Source organism: Homo sapiens, chromosome 1 (assembly GCF_000001405.40).
Source record: "Homo sapiens chromosome 1, GRCh38.p14 Primary Assembly".
Classification (NCBI taxonomy): domain Eukaryota; kingdom Metazoa; phylum Chordata; class Mammalia; order Primates; family Hominidae; genus Homo; species Homo sapiens.
In genome coordinates this window covers 97,383,782-97,409,196 of record NC_000001.11, presented here as the reverse complement: position 1 = coordinate 97,409,196, position 25,415 = coordinate 97,383,782, and the positions used below count along the sequence as shown (strand labels likewise).

The 25,415-nt window shown below is 36.3% G+C and overlaps 1 protein-coding gene and 2 long non-coding RNA genes across 9 annotated transcripts in view; 1 reads left to right on the top strand and 2 right to left on the bottom strand.

Annotated features, from left to right (window-relative positions):
• DPYD (dihydropyrimidine dehydrogenase) overlaps nucleotides 1-25,415 on the top strand; it is an 843,317-nt gene that overhangs the window by 511,863 nt on the left and 306,039 nt on the right. The gene's annotated exons all lie outside the window — the stretch shown is intronic.
• LOC124904226 (uncharacterized) lies at nucleotides 19,252-23,186 on the bottom strand. The gene is made up of 2 exons (XR_007066239.1): nucleotides 23,103-23,186; nucleotides 19,252-19,374 (listed from the first exon to the last, which is right to left on the bottom strand). It is a non-coding gene; the product is annotated as an uncharacterized LOC124904226 (long non-coding RNA).
• LOC105378867 (uncharacterized) overlaps nucleotides 23,188-25,415 on the bottom strand; it is a 48,351-nt gene continuing 46,123 nt past the window's right edge. Inside the window, exon 4 of one of the 2 annotated variants that reach the window (XR_007066237.1) lies at nucleotides 23,188-23,261. This is a non-coding gene — a long non-coding RNA (uncharacterized LOC105378867). Of the gene's footprint in view, nucleotides 23,262-23,878; nucleotides 24,804-25,415 lie in introns of those variants that run through there. The other variant, XR_007066236.1, reaches the window with a different exon arrangement.

Sequence of the window (25,415 nt, the reverse complement as noted above, 5' to 3'; positions counted from 1 at the left end):
AATGTTTAATAATCTTTACAAAACCCATGTGCTTATATGTATTGTATTAGTCAGCGTTCTCTAGAGGACAGAACTAATAGGATAGATGTATATCTGATGTAAATATGAAGGGGAATTTATAAAGGATTATTGACTCACATGATCATAAGGTGAAGTCCCATGATAGGCCGTCTGCAAGCTGAGAAGCAAGGGAACCAGTCCAAGTCCCAAAACCTCAAAAGTAGGGAAGCTGACAGTGCAGCCTTCAGTCTGTGGATGAAGGCCCAAGAGCCCCTGACAAATGAATAGTGTAAGTCCAAGAGTCCAAAAGCTGAAGAATTTGGAGTCTGATGTTGGAGGGCAGGAAGTGTCCAGCATGAGACTGAAGGCCGGAAGACTCAGCAAGTCTGCTCTTTCCACCTTCTTCTGCCTGCTTTATTCTAGTCATGCTGGAAGCTGATCAGATGGTGCCTACCCAGATTGAGGGTGGCTCTGCCTCTACCAGTCCACTGAATCAAATGTTAATCTCCTTTGGCAACATCCTCACAGACACAATTAGGAACAATACGTTGCAATCCAATCCAGTTGACACTCAATTTTAACTATCACAAGTCCACCCCTTGTCAACATGAACCCATACACATCTCCTGAAATCATACATAATCTCCAAATAAAGACAATAATAAGGTCATAATTACACAGCTATTCTTTGCACAACCAGAAGTGCATTAATCCTTACCCTAATTGCTATTACATAAAGTTAACACTTAAATTCTTATATGAAGTCAATAAATCTTACATCACATGATAAAGGAAAAAAGGAAATAAAATGAAGATATTTTCCTAGTAAAAGTGTATACATGCACAAACATGTTCTTAACAAAATAAGAAGGAAATACTCATGACAATTACAGTCCTCATTTCTGTAGCTGGTCACGTGGTCGTAGGTGGTATTGATGACTGCCTTCTTCTACTACCCATTCTTTATTCCCTTTGCCTTCAGCAAGCACCTCAGCAGGTCATGGTTTTTTGCCTGGTTGAGTGACCCAAATCTTCATTCCTAAAGAGTCTGGGCCATTTATAGTCCAGCCTGGATTGGGTTGTTGTAGTTTCCCATTGACGTTAATCATAGGGCATGGTAATAGTAAGAGATGCCCTAAGGGATCTCCTGTATTCCATGCATAATCTTCCTTATCTCCGTTGTGGAGTAGTAGACTGATTTCATCTTGATAGGCTGGGTCAATCACCCCAGCCAACACTATAACTCCTTTCTTAGACTGTTGACTGAGAGGTAGCCCAAAATGGCCAGGTGGCAATCTTAACTTGCAGTTTAATGGAATCGTTGTTGTGTCTCCTGGTTGCAGCATTATTTCCTCTGGAAGTAAGGCCTCTAGACCAGCTGAACATAATGTTGTGGGAACAGGAAGGAAAACTTTTGCTAGTGGGTCACTAAGGGTGATGGTGAGTGGTGTCACTTCTACTTACACCCCTTGATTCCTGGACCCATGTATCTTGACTATGGGAGGAAGAGTACCGTGTATTGGATGCTGATTCAGAGCATACACAGCCTTCTGGAGAACTTTGCCCCAGCCCTGTAAAGCTTTGTCACCTAGTTGGCATTATAATTGTGACTTCAAAAGGCCATTCCACCATTCTATTAATCCAGCTGCTTCAGGCTGATGAGTTTCTGGCCACAGGGACATGATGAGCTAGAAGACATAGCCCATGTCCTCTAGGAGTTTGCCATCCGTTGCCTAAGACACAGTACCACTAATGTACACGCCAGGATTATCTAATTGAACATGCATTAAACATGCAATCATAGTTAATGAGAGCAAAGAGCTAAATCTCATAAAATTATTAAAATAAGTATTGACATAGAATTTTATTTTGGGAATGTAAAATCTTTAAAGAAAATGTTTTAATAATCTTTACAACACCCATGTGCTTAAATGTATGGTTTTGGAAAATGTACCCAGACTATTTGATGTTGTGCATCATTCCATGTAATTATTTTAAGAGTTTTCATTATTTTATTATTAACCTCTTTTTTATTCCTATGTTACATTTTAATACTACATTAATTATTAACCTTTTTAATTTAGAAAGGTAGTTTATTAAATGAATATTTGTTAAAGCCTCTGAAAGGAAGTTTATAATTGGAATATAAATGCATAATAACACATTTTAAATCAAGCTCTTTATGTGCCATTGAAAAGCTCTATTCCTAAATGAACCATAACCTTGCAGGTACTATATCATGACCTTTTAAATAAAAGCAAAGAAAATATCATGCACAGATTTTATGTGGAAAACACACCTTTTTGTTTGTGTATAGTGCATTCAAATCTTATGACTTTAGTTGACTTACTACAGCCTCAATGAGAGCTCAAAAGTGATAGAACAACTCAAATGGATATTGTAGATTAATATCAATACCAGACATGCTATGAAAACAGTGAATGACTTATAGGCATAAAAATATATGATAGCTTGTTTCCGGTTACACATGTAAGGTACTTGGAAGTTGCCACTCCATCTTAACAAGTAAAACGCTAAAGAGCTAATTTACACCCCACCAACAGTGTAAAAGCGTTCCTATTGAGAACTCATGGACACAGGGAGGGGAACATCACACACTGGGGCCTGTCGGGGGGTGGGGGGCTAGGGGAGGGATAGCATTAGGAGAAATACCTAATGTAGATGAAGGATTGATGGGTGCAGTAAACCACCATGGCATGTGTATACCTATGTAACAAACCTGCACATTCTGCACATATACCCCAGAACTTAAAGTATAATAAAAATAAATAAATAAATAAATAAAAATTCCTGATGTCTGAAGAAAAAGAATATTTTAAAATAGGTTTTATTCTATAATAAAATAAATAAGATATACTTAAAAATAAAAAATAAATTAATAATTTTAAAAAAAAAAAAAGCTAAAGAGACTAAAAACCAACAGCTCTTCTTAGATTGTAAGAGATGGGAGGACTTAGGGCAAAACTGCTACGCCAAGGTTAGAGAGATAGACAGGCAAATATAGGGAACTATGGCTTACTGAAGCAGAGACTCACTAGCGGAAACCACATCAGGATCCAGGACCAGCGTAGGAAAACCTGAACTATAATTGATGAATTTCTGGAGGATCAGTGCAGACAAGTCTGAGAGTTAAAAACTCCAGGAGGGCCCAGGCATAGGGGACACCAAGGATATTGTGAGATTTATCTAGAGAAGCTTGACAAACTTCTCAAAGTGAGTATTAGAGAAAATTCCCCCGCTGCTTCTGGCAGGGGGAAGAGAAGAAGAACCATTTCATAATATGGCAGAGCATTCTGTTTTTCTTAACAAGACCTAAAGAGCAAGAATAGACTGGAGTTAAATATTTGAAGTATTAAGAGGGCCAGGCACAGTGGCTCACGCCTGTAATCCCAAAGCTTTGGGAGGCCAAGATGGGTGGATCACTTGAGGTCAAGAGTTTAAGAGACCAGCCTGGCCAAATGGTGAAACCCTGTCTCTACTAAAAATACAAAAATTAGCTGGGCATGGTGGTGCATGCCTGTAATCCCAGCTACTTGGGAGGCTGAGGCAGGAGAATTGTTTGAACCTGGGAGGCAGAGGTTGCCATGAGCCAAGATCACAGAACTGCACTCCAGCCTAGGTAACAGAGTGAGACTCTGTCTCAAAAAAACAAACAAAAGAATAAATAAATAAATAAATAAAGTATTCAGAGAAAAAAACTCACCAATGTAGAATTATATACTCTGCAAAATTATTCTTCAAAAGTGAAGGAGAAATAAACACTTTCTCAGACAAACAAACATTGAAAGAATGTATTCAGAATAAACCTCCTTGCAAGAAATGTTAATGGAAGTTTTTCAAGAGAAGGAAAACTATATAGGCCAGAAACTTGGACCTACATAAAGAAAGGAAGAACATCAAAGAAGGAATAATTTAAGGTAAAATAAAAATGTTTATTTTTCTTACTCCTAATTGATCTAATAACAATTTGTTCAAAATAATCATAGTAACAATATATTTGATTGTGTATACTTACGTATAATATATGTGCTTATGTATACCTATATATAAGTCCAATGAATGACAGCAGTGACACAATGGACAGGAGGGAGGATATGATTTTTTTATTATAAGATGCTCATATCATCTGTGAAGTGGTACGGGGTTATCTGATGGACTTGGATTAGCTATAGATGTATATTGTAAACTCTAGGGCAACCACTACAAAAAGTAAAAAAAAAAAAAAAGTACAAGTGATATGCTAAAAAGAAGTAGAAAAAAATTGAATCACATAAAATAATGAAATACAACCACAAAAGACGGAAACAGTATAGAAGACAAAATAGGAACAGAGAAAAAAATAGAAAACATTAATCAATATAGTAGATATTAATCCAGGTATATCAATACTTATTTTGAATATCAATGATCTAAATACGCCAATTAAAAGACAAAGATTGTTTAAGTGGATTTAAAAACCCACCTATGTATTGCGTATAAGAAAGTCACTTTCAATACAAAAACACATAGATTATAAGTAAATGGATGAAGAAAATGTATCATGCTAACACTAATCTAAAGATAGCAGGAGTAGCCATATTAATTTCAGGCAAAGCAGACTTCAAAGCAAGGAAAGTTATCAGGGACAAAAGAAGGGTATTACATAATGATAAAATGATCAATTATCCAGGAAGACATAAGAATCTTTAACGTGTATCCATCTAATAACAGAGCATCAAACTATGCCAAGGAAAAACCAATAGAACAGCAAAGACAAGTAGTGCATCTATTAGCATAGTTGGAGACTACAACACTTCTCTGTCAGAAATGGACAGATCCAGCAGGTAGAAAATCAGTAAGCACATAGTTAAACTCAACAACACTATTAGTCAACTGGATATAATTTGACATCTATAGACAACAACATTCAATAACAGAATACACATTTTTCTCAAGTTTACATGGAGCATTCACCAAGATAGACCACATTCTGGACCATAAAACATACCTTAAATTTTAAAAGGACAGAAATCATAAAGTCTCTGATCTGAGAACACAATGGAATTAAATTAGACACCGCTAACAAAATATATCTGGAAAATCCCAAAATATACAGAGATTAAACAACACACCTCTAAATAACACATGGGCCAAAAACGAAATGTCAAAAAGCATTAAAAATATTTTGAACTAAATGAAAATTAAAAGAAAACTTATCAAAATTTGTGAGGTGCTACAAAAGTAGTACTTAAAGGGCAATTTATATCATTGAGTGCATATATTAAAAAAGAAGAAAGATTTAAAATTAATGACCTAAGTTTCTACCTTAGGAAACAGAAAATGAAAAGCAAATTTAGTCTAAAATAAGCAGAACAAAATGAATAATAAGAATTAGCAAAAATCAATGAAATAAAAAAAATCAATATAGAAAATCAACAAAATCTGATTATTTGAAAAAAGTCAACAAAATTGATAAGCCTCTAGCCAGGCTAATGAATAAAAAGAGAGGACATAAGTTAATAATATCAGAAATGAAAGGGTGGACATCACTACGGGTCCCAGGGACACTAAAAGGAAAATAAAGAGTGCTATGAACAACTCCATGCCCACAGATTTGATGACCTGGATTAAATGAACCAATTCCTTGAAACTGCCAAAACTCACACAGGAAAAATAGACAATCTTAATCAGCTTATATCTATTAAAGAAATCAAATCAATAATTAACAACCTTCCAAAACAAAGCAAAAGACCCAGATGGGTTCACTATTTAATTCTACTGAGCATTTAAGAAAAATTCCTACCAATTCTCTCAATATCTTTCAGGAACAGAGGGAATACCGATAGTCTCAAACTTAGAATTTTTCAACTTCAAGATGATGCAAAAGCAACATACATTCACTACACTCCTCGACTTACAATGGGATATGTCTAGATAACTCCACTCATTGTAAGTTGAAAATCTCAGAAGTTGAAGCACACACTTTTGACTTAACAATATTTTCAGTTTATTACAGCCTTATCAGGACTTAACCCCATCGTAAGTCAAGGAGCCTCTGTACTTTTTAACTGATTATATGAGGCCCTAATACCTAATAATTGCACTGACAGCAAACCAGACAAAGACATGCTAGAAACTATAGACCAGTATCTCTTAAGATGCAAAAATGCTCAACAAAATATTAGCAAATTCAACGCAACAATGTATAAAAAGAATTATACACCACAGTGAAGTGGGATTTATCTCAGACATTCAAGGCTGGTTCAACATTCAAAAAATCAGGTAATGTAATTCATCACATCAACAGACTAAAAAAGAAAAATCACATGATTTTATCAACAGATGCAGATAAAGCATTTGACAAAATTCAACACCCATTCATGATCAAATCTCTCAGTAAACTAACAATACAGAGAAACTTCCTGAGTTTGATAAAGAATATCTATAAAATACCTTCAGCTAATATCACATTTAATGGTGAGAAATTAGAAGTTTTCACACTAAGATCAAGAACAAGGCAAGGATTTCCCCTTTCACCATTTCTTTTCATAATTATACTGGAACTTCTAGCTAATAAGACAAAATAAAGGTGGGAACAGGGTATACAAGTTATCAAGGAAAAACTAAACTGTTTTTGCAGATGACATTATTGTGTACATAGAAAATCAGAAAGAATTGACCAAAAAATATCCTGTAACTAACAAGTGATTATAGCAATGTGGCAAGATTAAAGGTTAATATACAAAAGTCATTTGATTTCTTCTGTACCAACAATGAAAAAGTAGAAGTTAAAAGAAACATAATATTATTTACATTAGAATCAAAACAAATGAAATACTTAGGTGTAAGTCTATCAAAATATGACAAGATCTGTGTGAGGAGAGCTACAAAACTCTGATGGACAAAATCAAACAAGAACTAAATAAATGGAGAGATATTCCATGTTCATGTATAGGAAGACAGTACTGTCAAGATGTGAGTTCTTCCCAGCTTGATCTATAGATGCAATGTAATCACAGTAGAAATCCCCGCAAGTTGTGTTGTGGGCATTAACAAACTGATTCTAAAGTTTAAAGGCATGCTAGAAGACCCAGAATAGCTAACACAATATTGAAGGAGAAGAACAAAGTTAGAGGACTGACACTACCTAACCTCAAGACTTACTATAAAGCTACAGTAATCTGACAGTGTAATATTGGTTAAAGAATAGACAAATAGATCAATTGAACAAAAAAGACATCCCAGAAATAGACCCACATAATTAAATCAACTGATTTTTGACAAAGCAGTAAGACACTTCAGTGGAGAATACATAGTAATTTACCAAATGGTGCTGGAACAACTGCATGTTCACATGCAACAAAAAATTAATCTAGACACACCCTTCACCAAAATTAACTCTAAATGGATCATACATCTAAATGTAAAGCACAAAAATATAAAATTCCTACAAGATAACACAGAAGAAAACCTAGATGATCTTGAATATGTTGATGACACATGTGTTTTTAAATACAACTCCAAAGGCAATATTCATGAAAGAAATTATTGATACGCTGGGTTTCATTAAAATAAAAAACTCTGGCTGGGCGCAGTGGCTCACACCTGTAATCCCAGCAATTTGGGAGGCCAAGGCAGATAGATCACCTGAGGTCAGGAGTTTGAAACCAGCCTGGCCAACATGGCAAAACCCCATCTCTACTAAAAATACAAAAATTAGCTGGACATGATGGTAGCCTCCTGGAATCCCAGCTACTCAGGAGGCTGAGACAGGAGAATCGCTTGAATCTGGGAGGCGGAGGTTGCAGTGAGCAGAGATTGTGCCACTGCACTCCATCCTGGGAGACAGAGCAAGACTCCGTCTCAAACAAACAAACAAACAAAAAAAAACTTCCGCTCAGTGAAAGATAATGTCAAGAGAATGAGAAGACAAGCCACCGACTGGGAGAAAATATTTGTAAAAGATGCATTGGAGAAAGTACGGTTATCCAAAATACACAAAGAACACTTAAAACTCAACAATAAGAAAACAACGAACCAGATTTTAAAAAATGAGCTAAAGACTTTAACGGACACCTCATCAAAGAAGATAAACAGATAGCAGATAAGCATATGAAAAGGTACTCTACATCATGTCAGGAGGGAAATGCAAATTAAAACAACAATGAGGTACCACTACACATCTATTAGAATAGCCAAAATTCATAACACTGACAACACCAAATTCTGATGAGGATCTGGAGCAAAGGAGCTCTCATTCGTTGCTGGTGGGAATGCAAAATGATTTGATCACGTTAGAAGACAGCATGTGATCTCAACAAAATTGATAGAGCACTAGCAAGACTAATAAAGAAGAAAAGAGAGAAGAATCAAATAGACACAATACAAAATGATAAAGGGGTATCACCACCCATCCCACAGAAATACAAACTACCATCAGAGAATACTATAAACACCTCTACACAAATAAACTAGAAAATCTAGAAGAAATGGATAAATTCCTCATCACATACACCCTCCCAAGACTAAACCAGGAAGAAGTTGAATCTCTGAATAGACCATTAACAGGCTCTGAAATTGAGGCAATAATTAATAGCTTACCAACCAAAAAAAGTCCAGGACCAGACGGATTCGCAGCTGAATTCTACCAGAGGTGCAAGAAGGAGCTGGTACTATTCCTTCTGAAACTATTCCAATCAACAGAAAAAAAGGGAATCCTCCCTAACTCATTTAATGAGGCCAGCATCATCCTGATACCAAAGTCTGGCAGAGACACAACAGAAAAAGATAATTTTAGACCAATATCCGTGATGAACATCGATGCAAAAATCCTCAATAAAATACTGGCAAACTGAATCCAGCAACACATCAAAAAGCTTATCCACCATGATCAAGTGAGCTTCATCCCTGGGATGCAAGGCTGGTTCAACATACGCAAATGAATAAACGTAATCCAGCATATAAACAGAACCAATGACAAAAACCACATGATTATCTCAATAGATGCAGAAAAGGCCTTTGACAAAATTCAACAGCCCTTCATGCTAAAAACTCTCAATAAATTAGGTATTGATGGGATATATCTCAAAATAATAAGAGCTACTTATGAAAAACCCACAGCCAATATCATACTGAATGGGCAAAAACTGGAAGCATTCCCTTTGAAAACTGGCACAAGACAGGGATGCCCTCTCTCACCACTCCTATTCAACATAGTGCTGGAAGTTCTGGCCAGGGCAATTAGGCAGGAGAAGGAAATAAAGGGTATTCAATTAGGAAAAGAGTAAGTCAAATTGTCCTTGTTTGCAGATGACATGATCGTGTATCTAGAAAATGCCATCATCTCAGCCCAAAATCTCCTTAAGCTGATAAGCAACTTCAACAAAGTCTCAGGATACAAAATCAATGTACAAAAATCACAAGCATTCTTAAACACCAATAACAGACAAACAGAGAGCCAAATCATGAGTGAACTCCCATTCACAATTGCTTCAAAGAGAATAAAATACCTAGGAATCCAACTTACAAGGGATGTGAAGGACCTCTTCAAGGAGAACTACAAACCACTGCTCAACATAATAAAAGAGGATACAAACAAATGGAAGAACATTCCATGCTCATGGACAGGAAGAATAAATATCGTGAAAATGGCCATACTGCCCAAGGTAATTTATAGATTCAATGCCATCCCCATCAAGCTACCAATGACTTTCTTCACAGAATTGGAAAAAAACTACTTTAAAGTTCATATGGAACCAAAAAAGAGCCCACATTGCCAAGTCAATCCTAAGCCAAAAGAACGAAGCTGGAGGCATCATGCTACCTGACTTCAAACTATACTACTAGGCTACAGTAACCAAAACAACATGGTACTGGTACCACAAAAGAGATATAGACCAATGGAACAGAACAGAGCCCTCAGAAATAATGCCACACATCTACAACTATCTGATCTTTGACAAACCTGACAAAAACAAGCAATGGGGAAAGGATTCCCTATTTAATACATGGTGCTGGGAAAACTGGCTAGCCATATGTAGAAAGCTGAAACTGGACCCCTTCCTTACACCTTATACAAAAATTAATTCAAGACCGATTAAAGACTTACATGTTAGACCTAAAACCATAAAAACCCTAGACAAAAACCTAGGCAATACCATTCAGGACATAGGCATGGACAAGGACTTCATGTCTAAAACACCAAAAGCAATGGCAACAAAAGACAAAATTGACAAATGGGATCTAATTAAACTAAAGAGCTTCTGCACAGCAAAAGAAACTACCATCAGAGTGAACAGGCAACCTACAGAATGGGAGAAAAGTTTTGCAATCTACTCATCTGACAAAGGGCTAATATCCAGAATCTACAAAGAACTCAAACAAATTCACAAGAAAAATACAAACAACCCCATCAAAAAGAGGGCACAGCAAATGAATAGACACTTCTCAAAAGAAGACATTTATGCAGCCATCAGACAAATGAAAAAATGCTCATCATCACTGGCCATCAGAGAAATGCAAATCAAAACCACAATGAGATACCATCTCACACCAGTTAGAATGGCCATCATTAAAAAGTCAGGAAACAACAGGTGCTGGAGAGGATGTGGAGAAACAGGAACACTATTACACTGTTGGTGGGACTGTAAACTAGTTCAACCATTGTGAAGTCAGTGTGGTGATTCCTCAGGGATCTAGAACTAGAAATACCATTTGACCTAGTGATCCCATTACTGAGTATATACCCAAAGGACTATAAATCATGCTGCTATAAAGACACATGCACACATATGTTTAATGTGGCACTATTCACAATAGCAAAGACTTGGAACCAACCCAAATGTCCAACAATGATAGACTGGATTAAGAAAATATGGAACATATACACCATGCAATACTATGCAGCCATAAAAAATAATGAGTTCCTGTCATTTTTAGGGACATGGATGAAGCTGGAAACCATCATTCTCAGCACACTATCGCAAGGACAGAAATCCAAACACCGCATGTTCTCACTCATAGGTGGGAATTGAACAATGAGAACACTTGGACACAGGGTGTGGAACATCACACACCGGGGCCTGTTGTGGGGTTGGGGGAGTGGGGAGGAATAGCATTAGGAGATATACCTAATGTAAATGATGATTTAATGGGTGCAACACACCAACATGGACACATGTATACATATGTAACAAACCTGCACATTGTGCACATGTATCCTAAAACTTAAAGTATAATTTAAAAAAAAAAAGACAGCATGTGGCAGTTTCTTGTAAAACTACAAATACTCTTACCATAGGATCCAACAACTCTACTCCTTGGTATTAACCCAAAGGAGTTGAAAACTTATATTTCCACAAAAACCTGCACATGGATGTTTACAGCAGCTTTATTCATAATTGCCCAAACTGGGAAGTAACCAAAATATCCTTCAGTAGGTGAATTATAAACTTTGGTACATACAGACAGTGATATATTATTTAGTGCTAAAATGGTATAAATATCAAGCCATGAAAACATGGAGGAAGCTTGAATGCATGTTACTAACTGAAAGAAGCCATAATGAAAAAGCTATATACTGTGTGATTCCAATTATATGACATTCTGGAAAAGACAAAACTATGGTGACAGTAAAGAAATCAGTGATAGGCAGGAGGGTTGGGTGGGGTGAGGAAGAATGAATAGGTGGAGCACAGAAAATTTTTAGGAAAGTGAAAATACTCTGTATGATACTAAAACAATGGATACGTGTCATTATACATTGTCCAAACCCATAGAATGTGTAACAGCAAGAGTGAACTCTGATGTAAACTGTGGATTTGTATGATGATGCTGTGTCAATATAGGTTCATATACATATAAGACATACCATATATATATCTGTCATACATATGTGACAGCTGCTACTACTACTACATGACTACATAACTACTACAGTCTACACAGTAGTAGTCATGATCTTTTATACATGCGTATATATTAGTCATGGTAGTTTCCTGCATGCACTTTTGCTTGTAGCAAGTATTACAATCTTCATAGGGATGAAACGGAAGGTTTAAAAAATTTATTAATAATAAGCCATCTTTCTTTCCACCAACATTTACTAAATTACATTAGGTGCTAGGCAATCCTGCACCAAATGATAAGAAACTAAAGGTGGATAATAATTAGCATGTTCTCACATTGAGTGAGGTAAGAGAAGTGGGACAAGAGAAGAGAAGTATATAAATAAACATCTATCTGACACAGTCCAACAGGAACTGAGTAGTGGTTGGTGTAGCACACTTGAATATTAAGAGAAAGCAGTGATTCTGTCTCTGAGATCATTGAGGATGATACAGTTGAGGTTAGCTCTGAGTTAGACCTTGAGAAGTAGGTAGGAGCTGTACAGTCAGACGTCTAGGATGGCACTACAAGAAGGACCAATATGAGGAAAAGAATGGACATCTAAAAGTACATGTGGCATGCGGTAGGCAGTATATATAAGAGGTTCAGTTTGATATGTCAAGATAAGGAGCAGCAAGGTGATTTGGAGCCAGATTATAAAGGGCCAATACTACCCTATCATCAGCCCTTAACATGCAGTAATGGTCAGGAAGCTGTGAATCATCCCATTGGTTCCTGCTCACTCATTCTTTCCTCTAATTTTATTATTTCTTAGGCAGTTCCATCTGCTGGTCTAGCTTAGATGGTATGCAGAGCTGTAGTGAAATAACTCACTGGCGAAGATCATATAAATAAGGTTAGCCTCTGAGAATGAATATAATAAAAAACTGACACACATTGAATAAAATTAACCATCTATAAAAGTAAACCAACACATTTTCTATAAAGGTTGTATAAGGAGCACAAAAAAATCATTCAAAGTATAAATATTATAGTCAAACAGATCAAGCTTTGTATCTACTCTTATTAGCCATGCAACTGTGAGTAGTTATTTAACTTCTTGAAGTTTTTTTTTTCCTGTCTGTAAAGTGGGGCTAATAACTTCTATGCTATGATGTTCTAAGGATTAGAGATAAGTCATGTGAAATTCTAAACATAGTACTCAGCATATGCAAGTACACAGCATGTAATAGTTCTTATTGTGGTACTTAGTAAAAGTGGCATCAGTTAGCTTTTCCTATATAACAAAATACCTCAAATTTGGGATTGAAACAATTATTAATTTAGTTCTTGATTCAGGATGTTAGCAATTTGCTTAACTGGGCTATGCTGCATGGTTCTTCTGGCCTCACTTGGTCTTATGCCATCTGTGGTCAAGTTCCAGGTGGGCTAGGGACTGGCTAATCTAGGTCAGCCTCAGCTGGATGGCTTGTCTGTGTGTCATGTGGTCTGTCATCCTTCAGGAACCTATGCTGGCTTGTCGTCTTGGTAGGATTTCAAGAGAGTAAGCAGAAAAGCACCAGGCCCCTTCAAGCCTTGGTTTAACTCTGGTACATCATCACCTCTACCATGTTCTACTGATTAAAACAAGTCACAAAATCAGCGCACACCCAAAGGTTGGGTAGATAAATGCCCCCACTTGATGGGAGTCCTTCCGAAGTGGCATGGAAACCAGGAGGGAACAATTTTTTCAAACAATCTACCACGAGAGGGTTGAAGACATAAAATCAACTAGAATCTCTAATGTAAATTGAAAGGATAGGAAATCAATATGGTATAGTCTTGATGTAGTAGAGAGGAACTTGGAATCAAAAGACCTGAGCTTAATCCCTGCCTTTGCTATTGATTAACTTGACCCTGGTAAAGTAATTTAAATTATCCATGCCTCATTATTATCAGTATAAGATTCTCCAAATTCAAGATTGTTGTGGGGGATAAATGAGATAATGTATGTGAAAATCTGTACTAAACTGTAAATACAGAAACAAATATAATGAAAAATTATTTTTGATATAAAATGTACTTTATAAATTATAAAAGGATCTAGAACCCCTTACCTTTACCATCTATGTGTCCTTATTCTGTCTCTAGAATGTAGAAAGGCACAATATATATTAAAATATATAATTTAAAAATATATAAAATATATAAACAAATACATGTCATAGCAGAAAAATGCAAAGGATACTGAGGAATCTCAGAAGAGGGGTGCCAAAGGAAGTCAGAGGAGCAATAGGGCACAGGAGAGGCATCCCAGAAGGCAATGTCTACATGAGAAGCACGAATTTACTAGAGAAAATGATCGAAAATTCAAATCCAAATGCTTAGCTGATTAGAAACCATTGTTTTGTCCCTTACCTGCATAAACCAGATTCCTACTTAGATATCTTGCTTCATTTTTTATGAAACGTAACCATTTGTTTCAAAGTCAGCCAAATTGAACTACCTGAGATTTCTTAAACACAGCATATTCCTTAAATACACCATCCTTTGCTTTTGATCTTGCTGCTCACTCTACCTGGAGTACTCTACCTCCTTGGATTTTGAAATCAATTTCCAATACAGACATACCTCATTTTATTGCAATATTGCTTTTTTTACAAATTGAAGGTTTGTGGCAATCCTGCTTCTAACAAGTCTATTGGTGCCACTTTTCAAACAGCATACACTCACTTCATGTTTCTGTGTTCATATTTTGGTAATTCTTGCAATATTTCAAACTTCTTCATTATTGCTACACCTGTTATGGTGATCTGTGATTAGTGATCTTTGATATTATTGTTAAGTGCTTTCAGGTGCCACGAACACCCGTTGAATATGGAAAACTTAATTGATAAATACTGTGTGTGTTCTGACTGCTACACTCATGGGCAAATCCCTCATTCCGTCAGTCTCTTCAGGCCTCCCTGTTCCCTGAGATGCGACAATATTGAAATTAGGCTATTTAAAGTACTTCATGACTAAAACACGAAAAGCAATGGCAACAAAAACCAAAATTGACAAACGGGATCTAATTAAACTAAAGAGCTTCTGCACAGCAAAAGAAACTACCGTCAGAGTGAACAGGCAACCTACAGAATGGGAGAAAATTTTTACAATCTGCTCATCTGACAAAGGGCTAATATCCAGAATCTACAAAGAACTTAAACAAATTTACAAGAAAAAATCAAACAACCCCATCAAAAAGTGGGTGAAGGATATGAACAGACACTTCTCAAAAGAAGACATTTATGCAGCCAAAAGACACATGAAAAGATGCTCATCGTCACCAGCCATCAGAGAAATGCAAATCAAAACCACAATGAGATACCATCTCACACCAGTTAGAATGGCCATCATTAAAAAGTCAGGAAACAACAGGTGCTGGAGAGGATATGGAGAAATAGGAACACTTTTACACTGTTGGTGGGACTGTAAACTAATTCAACCATTGTGGAAGACAGTGTGGCAGTTCCTCAAGGATCTAGAACTAGAAATACCATTTGACCCAGTGATCCCATTACTGAGTATATACCCAAAGGATTATAAATCATGCTGCTATAAAGACACATACACACATATGTTTATTGTGGCACTATTCACAATAGCAGACTTGGAACCAACCCAAATGTCCATCAATGATAGACTGGATTAAGAAAATGTGGAACATATACACCATGGAATACTATGCAGCCATAAAAAAGGATGAGTCCATGTCCTTTGTAGGGACATGGATGAAGCTGGAAACCATCATTCTGAGCAAACTATCCCAAGGACAGAAAACCAAACACCGCATGTTCTCACTCATAGGTGGGAACTGAACAATGAGAACACTTGGACACAAGGTAGGGAACATCACACACCGGGGCCTGTTGTGGGGTGGGGGGAGTGGGGAGGGATAGCATTAGGAGATATACCTAATGTAAATGACGAGTTAATGGGTGCAGCACACCAACATGGCACATGTATACATATGTAACAAACCTGAACGTTGTGAACATGTACCCTAGAACTTAAAGTATAATAATTTAAAAAAAAAAGAAAATAGGCTATTTAACAACTCAACAATGGCCTCTAAGTGTTCAAGTGAAAGGAAGAGTTGCATGTCTCTCACTTTAATCCAAAGCTAGAAATGATTAAGATTAGTGAGAAAGACATGTTGAAAGCTGAGATAGGGCAAAAACTAGACCTCTTGTTCCAAATAGTTAGCTAAAGTGTGAATGCAAAGGAAGAGTTTTTGAAGGAAATTAGAAATGTTACTCCAGTGAACACACAAATGATAAGAAAGAAAACAGCCTTATTGCTGGTATGGAGAACATTTTAGTGGTCTGGATAACATTTTAGTGGTCTGGATAGAATATCAAACCATTCTAGATGCCCTTAAGAACATTTGTGAATCATGAGAGGAAGTCAGATGTCTGCATTAACAGGAGTTTGGAAGAAATTGATTGCAAGCCTTGTGAGGGATTCAAGACTTCAGTGGAGGAAGTCACTACAGATTAGAGAAATAGCAAGAGAACAATAATGAGAAGTGGAGCCTAAGGATGTGACTGAATTCCTGCAATCTCATGATAAAACTTGAAGAGATGAGGAGTTACTTCTTATGAATGAGCAAAGAAAGTGGTTGCTTGAGATGAAATCTACTCCTGGTGAAGATGCTGTGAACGTTGTTGAAATAAAAACAAAAGATTTAGAATATTCCATAAACCTATTTGATAAAGCAGTAACTGAGTTTTAGAGATTTAAGAGGATTGAAAGAAGTTCTACTGTGGATAAAATGCTATGAAACAGCATCACATGCTACAGAGAAATCTCTTGTGAAAGGAGGAGTCAATCAATCTAGCAAACTTTATTGTCTTATTTTAAGAAATTGCTACAGCACCCAGGAATTCGATGCCACGGTAAGCTATAATCCCACCACTGCCCTCCAGCATAGGTGACGGAGCAAGACCCTATCTAGAAAAAAAAAAGAAGGAAAAAAAAGAGTGAGAAAGAAAATGCTACAGCTTTCAGTAATAACCAGCCTGATCAATCAGCAGCTATCACCATCAAGACAAGACATTCCTTTAGCAAAAAGATTATGATTCACCAAAGGCTCAGTTGATTGTAGTGAAAACATAACTTTTATGCACTGGGAAACCAAAATATTTGTGTGACTTGCTTTATTGTGATATTAGTTTTAGTGCTGTCATCTGGAATCAAACCTGCAATATCTTCGAGGTATACCTCTAAATGTCCATGGGTGATTTCATAATTGGCCAAGTGTTCCTGTTGTATGGTGCCTTCCCTGATTCACACAGTTACAAATGATTACCCTTTCTTTTGCTCTCATTTTATCTTAGTTAGTATTATTTTTTTTGTATCAATTTTCATGTTTCCTTTATTATGCCATGTGCTTTGACCATTCCTTATACATTTAGACAAAAGAAACAGACATATGATCAAGAGAATTCAGCATGCAAATTACACTCAGAAAGCAAAGCAATTCAGTGTGGTCAAAGCAAAAGTTGCACTATGGTCTTGTATAGCCTATTATTTTATCCTGAAATTGGATTTGAAGCCAAAGTGTGATATGAGGAGGTTTGTCTCTTTAGAATACTTTGGCAGATAGTATTGGCTGAAATCAGATATGGGGCAACTAATAAGGAATCTTCTGCAGTAATCCAGGGAAGAAATGGTGAGGATCTTAATGTAGTCACAATGAGGAACCTGGAGATATTTGGAAAATAAACTAGAGCAGTACTTCTCAAACTTCCCTGTACTTTAGGACCACCTAGAGAGACTTGAAAAACTCTGATGCCTGCACCTCACTCCATACAAGGTAACACAGAATCCTTGGAATTATTATTATTTTTTAACTCTCTAGGTAATTTCAATGCTCAGCCAAGTACTTGGTTAATCACTGGATGTGGGCGACAAAGATAGGTATTCCTAGTTTTCTGATCTGGGACAAAAGAGTGAAACAAAAGCATATATAGTGTGGATAAATAAGCAAATTTAGAGTGGAGAAATTTAAGTTTGGTTTTGGACAAATGGAAATTAAGTGCTAACGGGTAGTCGTATATGCAATTCTTGCACTTAGGAAAAAGATGCAGTTTAGAGGTATACACTTTCGAGATTTTCTGCATGTATTAATAGATATTATTTACAGTCATTGCGAATATGATGTCTAGTGAATGCATGTGAAATGAGACTAAAAGAGGACTGTGAGTGGACTCTGGGAGCATCAACATGTGAGAAATTGACAGAGGTAGAAAAAGAACACCAAAAAAAAAAAAAAAAAGAGGAAAAGTAAGTGGTATCTCCAAAGCTCAGTTAGAAGAGGGGTTCAAGAAACTGGAGGTGGTTAGTAGTCTTAAATGCTGAAGAGAGTTTAGTACAGATCTGGGCTGAAAAGTATATAATATATTTGGTGAGGTCACTGTTAACCTTGGGGAGATCAGTTCCTAAGCATATTGGGGACAGAAACTAAATAAAAATATATTATGGAGTGATCAAAAGGGGAGGAAAAAGCAAGTTACTGTAGCTCCTAGAGTGGTACAGTGGTTGTTTCCTGTTGTGTTGGAAAACATCTCTGATTTTTTATAGAAACTCTTGTATATTGTTTAAATGTTACTTTTCTATATTTGAAATAGTTGTGTAAATAAGACATTTGTCAGCCCCAAAATAAACCAAAAAATGATGAATTTTTAAATAATTTTAAAAGACAACTTGTAAGCATACTAGTCTCATTTATGACCATTAAGTAAGCAATGAACAAATAAAATTAGAAAAGCTTATTATTTCACCTTAAATGTCTTATAGTCAATGTATATATTTCAGGAATATTGCACCAATCTCACTTTCACTAAATTTGAACTAAGGCATAAAGGACATCTAAAATTTGAATGTTGTATGGTTAATTAACATTTAATAAACTTATTTTCTTTGTTTAAATGTCTTTGAAAATCAAATGTCTCATGCTGTTTTTCCTCATCAATGTAATCCCAGTAGTCTTAGGAATGATTTTGTTGAATTGTTTGACAAAACCTAACTTGGCTGCTTGTAATTTATAGTTGTTCACCCCCGTCACTTTGCAGTTTTTCCCTACTAAAAAATTTAGATTGTCTTGAAGCTGAATTGTTGACTGGATTTCCTATGTAGTTCACAGTATGGTTACAGAATACCAAAATAGCATTGTCAATGTGTTTTAAAAAGCATAGACCTGAAGTCAATGGGAATTTGACAAGACAGCCTGCATGTTATTGTAAGCCATTGCAAGTTTTATGTTGTTCTTCACCTTAATTTTTAATGTGTAAACTTTAATGAAATTCAGTTTTTAAAAGCTACTTAATAAAATAATTTTATTTATTCCCTAAGGAAATGGAATTGTCAAAACAAAAAAAGTTGACCATTAAATTTGATTCTTTTATTTAAAATTTCAAAGGATGACAATGGAAGCCATATAGCACTACTTTTTTTTTTTTTGCCAAATAAGCATCTGCACATTGTTTTTCACCTTTGAGATACCTTTTAGAGAGAAAGAAATATGCAAAATTTGATTAGTAAATTATCATACTTTGCATTTTATATGCTTCAAAATGTTAATGTCTCATAGAAATTAGATGTTTACAAAAAGTGTATACATTTTCTTAAGTTGTATTAATTAGTCAAAATGAAAGTCAAAACTATTAAATACTCCAATTTAAAAGTATTTTCTACGAAGCAGAATTCACTAAAAGAATGGCTTTTCAGGAGCATATCAAATTTTAATGACTTAAGCACTAAAAAGCATCTTGATAAGATGGGTCTCAACTCTAAGACAATCTATAAAACCCAATTTCATGTTTTCAGTAATATAAAGGGGACTGTAATCTGTGTTCCAACTTTGTAAATCAACTTGTCCTTTGATTTTTACTAATCATATTTTTCATAAATATTATCAACACTGATTAAATATCTGCCTTTTTGACCTCATAATCATACCATGTTCTAGTAAATTTGCTTTCCCTTTCTTTTCTTTCTTCGTTTTTTTTTTTTTTCAAAGACAAAATCTCATTCTGTCGCCCAGGCTGTAGTGCAGAGGTACAATCATGGCTCACTGAAGCCTCAAAACTCCTGGGCTCAAGCCATTCTCCTGCCTCAGCCTCCTGAGTAGCTGGGATTACAGGCATATGAGCCACCATGCTTGGCCCATTTTTAGAGACTATTTCACATTTTATCTCTTCCTCATAGTCACAAACCCATAACTAGTTCTCTTTACTCTCAGTAAGAGACCTTACACCCTAGTTCATAAAGAAAATGTAGACACCAAGAAGAATGATTTTACTTTTTCCACATCGAATTTAGAAACCTAAATGCATCCATACTTATTTGTTTCTCTCTCTACTCGTCTTCTATCCTGTTAGATACAAACAATGCCTCTGCCTCTCTTAAAGCCCACTTTCTCCACTTGTACTCTCGATTCATCATCCCCTCTTCCCTTCTCAAGAGCTTCTTTCTCTTTCCCAAATCATTTTCACTAGTGTAAAAACATACTCAAATATAGTCCATTAAGAAAACATCATTAGTCCTCCCGTGATCTTGTACAGGCTGCCTTCATTTGTCTTTTAGCTAGCCCAAGAAAACCTTTAGAGAGATTCATGTATTGCCTCTACTTCTTCATATTCTATTCACTCAATTCATTCTAGCCTGACTTTTGTCCTGTCACTTCCCTGAAACCCCTGTTTTAAAGGTTACGAATGGTTTTTGTCTCTTCAAATCCAGTGGACACGTTTCTACTCTTTGACACAGACTTTCAGAAGCATTCATCACGGTTGATTGTTCCTTACTTTTTGGAACACTTCCTTCTCTTGGCACGACATCACACTCTCTTGTGCCCCCAGGTCAGTCCTAGGGCCTTTCTTTTTCTCTATATTATTTTCTTCCTTTTGTGAAGTCATCTAGCCTGGTGACTTCAAATACCATTTTATTTTGAAGTCTCTAAAACTTGCACCTTTATCCTTGACCTCTTTAGTGAATTCTCCACTCATATATCCAGTGGCACAATTGATGTCTTCACTAATGCTATGCTTACTAGACATACTAAATATAAAATATTAAAATTGGACCTCTTCAATACTTTCTTCATTAGGCTTTATTCTATCTCAGTAAATTGTCTACATTCCACAGTTCAGTAGTTCAAGCCAAATATCTAGGATCATTCTTAATTTCTACTTTTCTCTATGTCTCTCTGAATCTAAGCATTCACCAACTAGAACCTCAGAACTATCCACTTCTCTGTATCTCCGTGGATATTATGAAAGCCACATTATTTCAACATAATCAGACTCCTTGCTTTCACCCTTAACCCACTTATCCTATTCCCTATAGTCACAAGCATCTTTTGAAAATGTACATCAGATTATTTTATCACCCTCCTTTAAACCTTTCTGCGGCCTCCCATTACACCAACAATAAAACCCAATCTCCCACAGGGTTCAGAGCTCCCAGAGATCTGGCTATTGCCTGCTTCTCTCATTTTCTTTCATACTATTCCTGTCCTCTCATGAATCTACAACCACAAAAGCCTTCTTTTTTCCCCTTGAACATACCATGCTCATTCCCACCTCAGTCTTTGCACCTGCAGTTACTTCTACATACCTGGCTGCTTTTACTCACTTCCACATTTTATTTAATGTGAGGTGCCATCTCATCTCTCAGTTTTCAACTCAGGGAGCTTTTTACTGACCATGTGTCTGACATGCATTTATGTATTCTGGTGATTCTCTGTCATGCTCTCCTCCTCTATTACTACCTTCCTAAAAATAATATTATAAATAGGTCTAACAATTGGAACTGGAAATGGTCCAATTAAAGTATCTTTTTTTAACTCATTATGACATTTTCCTCCCTAAAATGTAAGCTTCAGGAGGGCAGGGACTTTTTCTGTCTTGTTCATCACTTCTGAGTTAGAACAGCTGTTGGCATATAGTGGAGCTCAAGAAATATTGGTTAGAAGTTGAATACACGAAAATGCTAAGTCAATGTCTCAAGCTCCTTTTTGTGTGCCATTTAATTCCTCTTATATTAGATGCTCAATTTGCTTATTAATCAATTAGGTGACATTGAATCTCCCACCAGACTGTGTAACATAAACTGTAGGATGGGGGAAGACAAAGTTCAAATACTGTGTAGCATCTGGGTTTCACTATCTCTTCATTCAATAATGTTTTAAAATATGAGCCATAAAAATTGAGCACTAGAAATGGCATAAATTAAGTGAAATATTGATATAGAAAAATGTTGCTTTTATTTAAAAATATATTTCATTGGGTATTTATTTCTAATAACATTGCATGATGTTTCACGATATAAAATATCCATCATTCTGGTTTTTTTTCTTAGGAAAAAAAATCTGTTCCCTCCTGCTTGATTAAAAACGGAGTACAGCAAAATACTGAAGGGCTTCCTAATTATCAAATAAATATTAAATTATGTCCAGTGTCCTTTTACTGTTAATGTCTTTTAGCCTGACTCTTTTAAAAATTGCTTTCTCTTTTAATAAAAAGTAAAATTATTTTTTGGTCATCTTTATTTCTCAGAAATAGAATGCTACCACATATTTTCACAAACCATCCTCTGGCTTTAGATAAGGATATTTAGAATCCTTAGACCATTTCACATTTTTAAAATAAATATAAAGTCATTTTTCCTGAAATTTAATTGATTTAAAAAATTGCTTTGAAAATTTCTTCAAAACATGACAACTTTAGTTTTGCATGTAGTAATTGTCAAGACTGTTAAATCATAGAAACAAGAATGTAAAAATAGAATTTCCTTAAGCCAAAGTGTGGTATTTATTAGTTTAAATATGCAGATATGTTAGTGAGGCACCCAGCCTTAAAAGTGGCTGCAAAGGGGATCTCTCTCCATCCTGTGTGTTTGTCTACTTTCTCCTGTCTCTGTTTTATTTTTTCCCAGTGTAGTAAGCTTTGGGATTGGAAAGTGGTTAAATGAGGAATCAGTGATCAACAGCAGCTCTGAATAAACTTCATTCCAGTTTAGTGACCAAGGAGAAAAAAAAAAAAGTTTTAACTTTCCCAGTTCCACTGAGGGATTTTGATAGAAGCAGAGTACCTAATTCCTATGATCAGTGCAGGTGGGGATACTTTCTCATCTTTCTGGGCAAGAAGATAGAGTCTGCTTTCAATGGATAGGGAAAGGAGAACAGGGTAGTGCTTGGCTGCTCAGAGCATACAATGGAAACCACTGCTTACCATAATGTATCTCTCCCATCTGTGGTCACCCCTCCCCAGTCAGAGGCTGCCCCACCAGCATTCAGTGGCATGATTCTCGCAATGTCCTGAACAACTCTCTGTATGATATTTATTTCCCTTCATCAAGTCCAATTGTAGTGCCTCATGCTTCTCAGCAACCTACAGGGTGAACAATTAACCAACCTGGCACAGTCAATATAAATTTGAAGCAAAAATAGCTCTGTTAAAATTAAAATTGCCATGTAAAAGAGAGAAACAGTGTTAGTCCCTACTTGAGAGGATATATCTTATCCTACTGTCAAGGCTGCTAAACCTTGCTTCCCTGCTGTGGATTTCTGTGGTCAACCCATCTGCCTGGCTAGATTCAGCCCACGAGAAAGGTTTTTCTTGTCCTCTGTGGAACCCTGAGAGGGGAGCTGGAGAGGGAGGTGCACATGCTGTGACTGTGCTGATTGAGCAGCCACTTCATAGTTGCATGAGAATGTGAATTGGGGGATTATTTTGTTATGTTAGGAGGTGGGGGTTTTGTGGTTGTTGTTGTTATTGTTTTATTTTGTTTTTTTTTTTTTAAGAAAAAAATTTTCTAAAAATCTATGCATATTGCTTATCAGTTTCGCCACAGGGTAACTAGTATCTAATAGCTAATTTTTTCTTCTTCTTCAGTCTGTATCTCTGTATCTGTCTCTGCCCTTGAAGTTCTAGCAATAAGCCTCAGGGCTCTGCCCATTCCCCAGTTGATTTTTCCTTTCAAATAAGGTCCTTAATCTCTCTCTCTCTTTTTTTTTTTTTTTTTTTTTTTTTTTTTTTTTTTTTTGCAAGGAATGCCTACACCAAGAGGTATTAGGTCTAGTCCTGGAAGATCTGGTGCCCTCTTTGATAGTTCTCCCTGATCTTTTTTCTAACTGGAGAATAGGGCATAGCATCCCTGAGCTCTTAGATCACTTGGAAAGGGCGGAAAGCATCTCTAACTGAAGCTGTGTAATTACATGGTGCCCCTTTTATACTTGCAAATGAAGCTTGGAGTATGACTTCTCACTTTTTTAGCCCCTAGGGAAAAGGCCATGGAACAAGCATTCTTACATTTTTCTCCCCAATTCTGAAAAGCTGTAGTTTCACTAGACGAAAAAAATTGAATCCTAAACTCAATGAACAATAATTTGGCATGCTTAATTTTCCTTCTCTATCCATCATCTACTTTTACTTTCTTCTCTTTGTTCCTCTCTCTAAGGAATCTATTCAAAATTGCTGTTTCTTCTGGCTTCCATATTTCGGAACGTTGTTCAACCTTTTTGTGACTAATGGTCTGCGAATTTCTCAGTGGCTTTGATTCAGAGTCTCAGATCTTTTGCTTCCTTCTTTTTAATTGCTTCTCTAGTTGACTAGTCCTGTGTATTTTAATATCTGATTATTTTTTCATCACCAAGACAGATACCTTCATCAGCCCTAATCACTCTTCACTCTTACTCATATAATCGCCAGCAGTTTTCAATTGTTTATTTTTCACTTCTCTAACTTATGGTATCCATTTCTACTTAATCTTCTTAAAAGGGTTAGCTGATAATGCAACCCCTTGCTCCTAAACCTCTGGTGACCTCATTCATTTATTCTTTCAGTCTTTGATACGTGCCAAATACCATGCTAGTTACTGTAGATAGATGATGACTAATGCAGAGCAGCTCCAGCTTTCATGGTGTTTATAGTCTATCCAGAAAGAAAAAGAAAAAAAAAACTTTAAAGACATGCTTCTTTCCCTGGTTTTTAGAACTCTCTCCAATATGGTCACAACTTTCTATTCTCCTGATGAAAACGTTTATCTGACTTTTACAGCATATCTTTTTTTTTTTTTTTCTCAAAGTAAATAAAAAAGCTCTATGTAGTGAGAGCACAGTGGCTTTTAGAGGACTCTTACCACTAGACTCTGCAACTTTAAGCTTGGCACAAACTCTTTGTGTCTCAATCTCTTAGTCTTTATTTTTTTATTTTATGGAGATAGAATCTCGCTCTGTTGCCCAGGCCGGAGTGCAGTAATGCAATCATACCTCCCTGTAACCTTGAACACCTGGATTCAAGTGATCCTCCCATCTCAGCTTCCTGAGTGGCTGGGACTACAGGGGCAGGGCACCACACCCAGCTAATTTTTCTATTTTTTTGTGGAGGCAAGGTATTGCTCTGTTTCCCAGGTTGGTCATGAATTTCTGGGCTCAAGCGATCTTCCTGCTTTGGCCTCCCAAAGTGCTGGGATTACAGGCGTGAGCTACTGCACCCAGCCTCAATCTCATAGTCTTTAAATGATAATGGTAGGAAATAATTACT